This window comes from Homo sapiens, chromosome 5 (assembly GCF_000001405.40).
Source record: "Homo sapiens chromosome 5, GRCh38.p14 Primary Assembly".
Classification (NCBI taxonomy): Eukaryota; Metazoa; Chordata; class Mammalia; order Primates; family Hominidae; genus Homo; species Homo sapiens.
Window position 1 is genome coordinate 56,604,145 of NC_000005.10, and position 8,834 is coordinate 56,612,978.

Genomic DNA, 8,834 nt, shown 5'->3' on the forward strand with positions numbered 1-8,834 from the left:
ATACCAAAATTAGCGGGGGGAAGGGTGGGGAGCTGAGCTGGAGAAATGGTACAAGAGCCAAGCTAAGGGCAGTTGGAAGCTGGCCCATGAATAAAATTCCCTGCGTGCAGCTGTAAAACATACACCTGTCCTTCAGGGACTGAGTTCAGGATAACCAAACATTCCTTATAATAAGTCTGCACACTCTGCTGTGCCAACAGAGAAGACCAATTATATGTGTGAGACGATCTGCCATGAACTACTTGGTCTCTGCTGGCCATTTTAGTACTAAAATTTATGACAGCACTAAGCAAAACTCCCAAAGTGCAGAAAGCTGGGGGCTGGGGCAGATCAAGTCAAACATGTCGCCTACACAGGCCCCTCAGTCTCCTTCCTCAAGCCAAGCTTCCACTCTTCCCCCCGCCCCGGGCCACTCTCTGCAGGACAGGGTGTTCAGAAATTGCTTGAAAAGGGAGAATTATCTTGAAACCAAAGACATTCATTTAGACTTGAACAAAGGTGGTTGTTTGAGGGAATACTAGGGAAAAAACAACTTAGAAGAAGGGAAAGGAGGCATATAGATGGAAGTTAAGTCAGACTCCACATAGTTTCAATTAATATGATTTTTGGAAAGGCTCTTACATCCTCATTTCTGTGGAGGCCGACTTGGCCAAAGTGCTGAACCAAAGTTTTGCCATATAGAACACAGCCACACAAACAGGCCCCTCCTAGTCAATCACTGAATCCAGCCTCTCCAGACTCAACAATCTGACTTAGGATCTCAGAATTCCAGGAAATACTAGGGATGGCTTGGCTGCCTCCTTGGTTATAGGTGAGGAAACAGGCGAATGGTGAAATGACTTAACCAAAGTTCCCAGAGCTGGCACATTTATAGCTGAGATCTCCCAATACTGTTGTCTTACTCCTGCACGCAAAAATTAGTGGATGTTTTGTTCTTTTTTTGTCTTTCAAAGGACTTGGTTTCATTGTTAAAAGAAACCTCACTGCAAGTTACCAAGCTGTCAAACCCTGAGGCGGGATGAGCCACTATTTTTCAAATCCGTGCACCAGTAGTGCTTCTGTGACATCACCCAACACAGAATATCTTAAAATCGATTTCAGGAATGGATCTCGTAACCAAAAAACAGCTTGTTCAGAAAGGGGCACCTATGCACGTAGCAGATGCCTTCTATCTGGTCTCCATCTTCTATCAGGTCTCCCTTTCTCTCTCTTTATTACTGCCCCCCACCTCTGGGAAACTGCCACACCCAGCCACTAAGACCAAGACTTTGCGCACTAAGACTGTGTCGACAGATAAGCAGAAAAGTACAGCACTAGTTTCATCTAGTGTTCTGCCCTGTGTTTCAGTTGAGAGAAATTTCACACATATACACAGACACAGACACACACACACATACTCTCTCTCTCTCTCTTCCTAAGAAATGAATATAGAGCAGCTAAAACCAGATAAGTTCTAGATCCCTGAGGCTTGAGACCCAAGCCTGAGACTGTTCTTAATTGGCCTCATTGACAGCAGATGCCCAGCTCCTCTGCCCCACTCTCTAGGATCCTGCACAGATGTGGCCAAATTCTTCCCCACCAAACCAGCTTTAGACTCTCCTGGGCCTGGCGATCCATGCCTTCTTCTTCACCCCTCTCCTGAAGATTCCTGTGACTATGGGTCTGGAAGCCCTTTCTGCCAAGACACCACTTTCCTCTTCTGGTCTCATTTGGTTTGTCTGACCCTTGGCTGGTTCTAATCCTTGGTGGATTCCTTCACATACTGCTCTAAGCTTGCCCTTTGACTGCATTACCTCGAGCCTTTCTACAAGGCACCAGCTCTATTTCCTGGCCAGAAGTAGAAATTCCCTCCCCCGCTGCGCAGAAGTCCCACTCACAGAATTCGGCTTCATTGCTTCTCTGCCTCTCCAGCTCCATTCCTCGAAGAGCAGAGATGACAAGATGTAGGTTCTGTGTATGCATCCATGTTCTCACTGATGGCTCAGCCAGCATCTCTAAAGTTTTTTTTAATGATTAAGGGCCTTTGGGTTCCCCTGTGGCACTTCCTTGGAGGTAAGGGCTCAGGTGAAGTTGTTCATTTGGCTGTTGATCCCAGGGGAGCACAGGGAATATGAAACAGGGAAGAGAGGAAAGCTAATAAAGAATGTGTTAAGAAGCTTTGGGCAATCAGGGCTTCCTCTAGCAGGAAACCCTTAGGAGACTGCAGAACATTCCTTGGAATGAGGGCAAGGACTTTGGATTATTTATCCAGCCAGGACTTTCCCTCTTTGGCCAAGGGTCATTCCTTGGGCAATAATTCCCTGGCACTTGCAGACTAACCTGTGTGCTTCCAAGCTCATTTCTTTTTTCTTTTTTCCTTTTGTCTTTTTTTTTTTTTGAGATGGAGTCTTGCACTGTTGCCCACGTTGGAGTGCAATGGTGCGATCTCGGCTCACTGCAACCTCTGCCTCCTGGGTTCAAGTGATTCTTCTGCCTCAGCCTCCTGAGTAGCTGGGATAACAGGTGCCCGCCACCACACCCAGCTAATTTGTTGTGTTTTTAGTAGAGATGGGGTTTCACTATATTGGCCAGGCTGGTCTTGAACTCCTGACCTTGTGATCCGCCTGCCTCGGCCTCCCAAAGTGCTGGGATTACAGGTGTGAGCCACCATACCCAGCCGCTTCCAAGCTCATTTCTATGGCTGAAGAATGCCCTCAGGCAGAGAGAAGCAGGAGGTTGTCTGTCTACACAGCATGTGACTACAGCCAAACTCTGGGGTGGCCAAGGGGACATGGGTTGGACACCAACAGCGTCTGCTACAAAAGTGGTTGTTGCCACCCCTCAGAATCCCCCTCTCTGTGTGATCTTCCAGATTCAATGTAATACGTACTGAATGCTGCCAAATATAATGTACCAGACTAGACTCAGGTAATCACAAAGATGTGTAAGACAGAGTTCTTCTCCACACAGAACTTTCAATTTGATGTAAGAGACAAACAGAAATAAAAGTCTTTATAGAAAAGTAAGTCTTTATAGAATAAAGAAGAATATGAGAAGGGCTGTATTAGAGCCATGAATCACTGGCTGTGAGAGCTGCGGGAAGATGAGATTAATTTTGACTAGAGGGAGAAGGCTATCAGGGCAGTTTTCCAAAGCTAAAATATTTTAAACATATGCTAAATCGACAGACATCCAATTCCCACCAAGAGCAAAAGAATAAACATTCTTTCGCAGGGCCCTAAAGCCAGAAAGCAGTGAAAGAATTAGAACCATTTTATCTCAATTCACAAAAGGAAATAAGTGACATCTTTCAGTATCACCCCATCTTCTAGATGCAACGTTTAAAACCAAGTCACAAGAGCAAGATGTTCTTCCTGCTCCACGTTCAACTATGCATTTGAAATCTGTTCTCATTTGTCGAAATGAGCAATTAATTAACAGTCTTTGTGAAGTTCTCAGACTCAACAAGTGTGCCCCTCTCCTGCTGCCTCTGCCACAGGCAGCCACTTTGCATGTCCCTGCTTTTGAAAGACAACTTAGGAATGAAGCTAAACGAGACATCAGCAGTTTTCCAAATCCAGGTGAAGAAAGTGAATGACTTCAGCATGAAAGACAGGGCTGGGGCGACAGGGGAGAGCAGGAGACGGATGAGTCAGCCCATGTTCGTGGAAAGCTGGGGTTTGTTGGAAGAATCTCAAGCTTTCATTTTGTGGTGTTTGGAAGCTTAATTCCCAGCTTCTAATTAAACATATAAACTGTAATCACAAAGGTATTTCACAAGTAGTTCCTTGGATGTGGCAGGGGTTCTAAGAACCAATTTGAGATGCAGGGAGGAGCGGGAAAGGCGTGGAGAGGAAGCAGGCCTGGGAGTGAGAGTGTACTGGGCTTCAGGAAGCTACCTGCTGAGGAGGTGCTGGGGACCCCACACCTGAGCTCCACACTGGAGGGATGCAGACAGAGAGGATGGGGATGGAGCCGTGCAGTGGGGCCTTTTTGTTCTTCTTGCCCAGGTCCTTCTCTCCTGCCTCTCTGGCTGCCCGGCTCCAAGTCAGAGACTTGAATATGCAGCTGGAAGTTTGGGTATTGGCAAGAAATAGCAACTGCACCCCACCTCACCATTCAAGTTCATATGTGGCCCTGCCCCTGCCACCCTCTCAGAAAGGAGATGCTAACGGGCAATGACAAGGAGGAAGTTATGGCACAATGGCAGACTTAAAGTGCCCAGTCATGCTATTACTGCACTCAGCTGAGAATTCTGCAGGGGCAGGGAGCGGGGGATGGAAACCCCTGGGCTTCTCTCGTTTTGTCCCCTGCAGAGTGACTCTGCAGCATTATAATATCTGCCCCAGCCAAAACACAACTGCTCTCCTGCCAGAAGGGAGATTTTTGCCAGATGCAAATCACATGCTGGCCAGAAGCACCAAGGCCCTGGGAAGAAGTGTGTGTTTTCTGGTGGGGAGAAGAATGTGGTATTCAGAAGTCCAACTCAAGGAGATATATAGATCTTGAGCCCTTCACCCAAGGTTGCTCTGTGACTCCACTGCCTAGCATGGTTTAACAACCATACAGCTTAACCATAATAGAGACAAGTTCTAGATCAGTGGCACTTGATCCCCCAAGCGGAAACGTTCCAGATCACTGGAGTTTGAGATCCCAGTCTAGCCTGTCTCCTTTTCTCTGCTCACAAGACATTTTATGGATAAGAGCAGGAATGAAACCATAATACGTATGATTTATTGAGGGTCTCAAATGTGCCTGCTGATGCAGAGTCATAATCTCCTCTCACAGCAACACTGAAAAGTAAGTCTTGTCATCCTCCAGTTTATAGTTGGGCTCAGTGGTCAAGATTGATTTGTTAAAGTTTCTATCACTTTGAATTCACCCCTAATCATACAGCTAATAGTACTGAAGCCATCTCTGAATTGAGCTGTGACTGACTGCAAAGGCTTTCTTGTTTCCAGGCCAACATACCATCTCTTCCTGACTTGGAGCACAACCCATTAAATATTCAGACATGTATGTGTGGAAAGCAGTGGCGAGGTTGGCTGTCAGCCAGACATGAATTTGGTTCCACACTCTGCCATGGGAATTTGGGCAAGTTATTTAGCCTTTTTGAGACTCAGTTTCCCCATATATAAAATGGGAAAGAGACTATTACTACCTACCTCTTAAGGCTGTTAAAAAGAATAAATGAAGTGATGTCTGTAAAACACATAGCACAATGCCTGGCACATAGTCATGCTTGATAAATGTTTATGATTGTCGCTTTTAGTGTCCCCAAGATCCCCAAGAGATCCCCAAGAAGGCTTTTTAAAAAAACTTGAGTATACAGAATTAGATTAATTATAATCTTTGATTTATGATGTATTCTCATTATTGATCCGTGAGTGGTCCTTCTTATTAATGTATTCTTATTAATGTATTTATTTCTTATTAATGTATTTCTTATTAATGTCCTTCTTATTAATGTATTCATTTTATGCTAAATATCCACAAAATTACCACTCAACATGAAAACTATACCATTGACAATAACTTACAGTTTTTATATATAGAAGGGATTTCACAGTTCTAAAATATGTATTCTTGCATATACCATAGCTATATTCTAGGTATTAGCATGTTGAATGAATGTACTCAATGTTCATTGAATAAAGGAATCAATACATGCAATAATTCATCAATAATAACTTGTATTTAGGGACCAGAAAACAGACACCACACTCTGAAGTGAAATGTGAGATTACAAGGTAGGGTTTGCAAAGGCAGTATCTACAAACCAGGGTTTAGTCATGATTAGCCATTTGCCACATTCGGAGTACACCCTATTAAATTAAAAAGTGAAAGGGCACTAAATAGAATAAGATTTTTGGAGAGAACTATGGGTGTGCTGAGAGTCCCACTCCCACCCATGGGGTAAGCGTTGTGGGTGCTTTTCCTTTATCTGAAATCAAGGGAAGCTGGCATAAATGGTCCACTCTAATAGGTGTGGACTGAAAATGGGGTCACAGTGGTCGGGTGTCTGTCTCATGCATAAACCACGTAAAGGGTGAGTAGTAAGGGCTAGCAGGCTACCTCTCCAGTGGAATAAAAGAGGGATGGCTGCACTGTGATCAGACAGTTCACCCAGAGGCAGTCAGAGTAGAGAAAGCTTGAGTGTTTCCCATAGATCAGATATCAGCCACAGAGAAGAGACGGCAGGCTGAGATCACCTTGGATCCTAAACAAGAGGACTGTCTGGAGAGGCAAACAGATCCCCCATGCCTTTGGTGGCAAACCACCAGCACCCCCAAGGTGAGAAACTTTATGCCACCAGCAAGAGAACCACATGAGCTATCCCCATATGGGCAGACTATACCTGAAGAACTTGCCAAATTCTCTGGTAGAGCCAGCCTTAAACACACGTAGGCTCTGAGATGACTCACAATGGGATTGTCAAGTCAGAATGGTCCTACCTCTGCACTCCTCCCCTTCCTTTGCTTCAACCCAGTAGGGGCCCAAGGCAACCTAGAGAGTGAATGAGAAGGCAGAAAAAAATCAAGGCAGTAAGATGGAGAAGCCAGTCCTCTCTCCTCCACTGCAGGTCTGGGCTTGGGGTGGGGTAGCAGTGATAGAAACTTTAACTTCAAAATAAGTGTACATTTGTATTACTACATTTGACTGGACATAATAATAACTAAACTGAGACTGTTTTTCTGACTAGCAGTGACAGACCACTATCTGTTGCCTGAGAGGGGCCAGCCACCAGGATAAATTTGAAGAGGCAGTTTGGGAAAGGAAAGTAGCTGTGCTCTGCTTAAACTCTGTGAGTTCCACTTGCTGAGAGTGACAGTTATAGGGTCTCAACTGAGATCCTGTAAGAATTAAGATACAGTGCTACAAATGTACAGTGGGCACATAAAAATTTTTCAGACCCATTTATAATGAAAACTATAAAACATTGGTGAAATAACTTGAAAAAGATACCAAATATATTAGTTCATTTTCACACTGCTGATAAAGACACACCTGAAACTGGGAACAAAAACAGGTTTAATTGGACTTATAGTTCCACATGACTGAGGAGGCCTCAGAAGCATGGCAGGAGGTGAAAAGCACTACTTACATGGAGGTGGCAAGAGAAAAATGAAGAGGAAGCAAAAGCAGAAACTCCTGATAAACCATCAGATCTCGTGAGACTTATTCACTATCATGAGAACAGCATGGGAAAGACTGGCCCCCATGATTCAATGACTTCCTCCAGGTCCCTCCCACAACACATGGGAATTCTGGGAGATACAATTCAAGTTGAGATTTGAGTGGGGACACAGCCAAACCATATTACCAAAAAATGAAAAGATACTCCATGTTCATGGATTAGAAGAATCAATATTGTTAGACTGTCCATACTAACCAAAGCAATCTACATATTCAGTGCAACCCCAATCAAAATACCAATGACATTCTTCACAGAAATAGAAGAAACTACCCTAAAATTTATATGGAACCACAGAAGACCCAGAATAGTCAAAGCTGTCCTAAGCAAAAAGAACAAAACTGGAGAAATCACATTATCTGACTTCAAATTATACTACAGAGCTATAGTAACCAAAACAGCATGGTACTGGCATAAAAACAGACACATAGACCAATGGAACAGAACGGAGGACCAAGAAACAAATCCACACACCTAAAGTGAACTCATTTCCTACAAAGACACATATACACAATGAGTACTATTCAGCCATAAAAAAGAACAAGATCCAGTCATTTGCAACAATGTGAATGTAACTGAAGGTCATTATGTTAAGTGAAATAAGCCAGGCACAGAAAGACAATAGTGTGTGTTCTCACTTATTTGTGGGATCTAAAAATCAGACAATTGAACTCATGGAGATGGAGAGTGGAAGGATGGTTACTAGAGGCCAGGACATATAGTAAGTGGGTGAGGAGGAGGTGGGGATGGGATGGTTAATGGCTACAGAAAATATTTAGAAAGAATGAATAAGACCCACTATTTGATAGCACAACAGGGTGACTATAGTCAATAAAAGTTTAATTGTACATTTAAAAATAACTAAAAGAGTATAATTGGACTGTTGGTAACACAAAGGATAAATGCCTGAGGGGATGGATATTCCATTCTCCATGATGTGATTATTATTCACTGTATGTCTGTATCAAAACATCTCATGTAATCCATAAAAATACACACCTACTGTATACCAACGAAAATTAAAAACTAAAAAAAAAACAAAAAAACAACAACAACAAAAAAACAACAAACTGACCCAAAATGGATTAGGAAACCTACTTTGGATCCCTTCTTCTCCATCAAGGGTCTCCATCCAGGTCAACTCAGGGCTTGATTTGTAACCAGAAAATGCTACAAGAGCCTCGAGATTTTCTCCAAAGGAGTCATCCCTGAGATGCTCATTAATCACTGAAAACAAGTAGTTGTTTCATGCCAAGGCTGGGAGCAATCTGTTCCTAAGCAGTCCTCTCATCTCTCTGATCTTCCAGGAAAGAGCGTAGCAATGGTCCATCCTTTGGGGATGCAAGCCCTGTCCCATTCACAGTTTGAGGGAATTGCTGCCTACTTCTATGCCTCCAAGCACAGCTGTCTATTCCTCCCCTTCCAGAATTATGCCACAATATCTCCCCTCTGTGAGCCCTTAGGGACACATCTGGACTCTTCGTCCAGGGTTTGCACCTGGAGGAATAGTCTGTGTAGCAAATTCTGCCATGTTCCACCCAGATCTGTGTGTTAGTCCCTCAGCTTTGCATCCTTCTGCTAAGGGATGGGAGTTCACCTGAAATCACACCACTGCTTGGTTTCCCTTCTTACTTGCTTGCTTCCCCACTTCCTTCCTGGT

At 43.8% G+C, this 8,834-nt stretch overlaps 1 long non-coding RNA gene across 1 annotated transcript in view; it reads right to left on the reverse strand.

Moving 5' to 3' along the window:
- C5orf67 (chromosome 5 putative open reading frame 67) overlaps positions 1-2,112 on the reverse strand; it is a 94,975-nt gene extending 92,863 nt beyond the window's left edge. The window contains exon 1 of the long non-coding RNA NR_161255.1: positions 1,878-2,112. This is a non-coding gene — a long non-coding RNA (chromosome 5 putative open reading frame 67). The remainder of the gene's footprint in view (positions 1-1,877) is intronic.
- Positions 2,113-8,834: the final 6,722 nt, after the last annotated feature.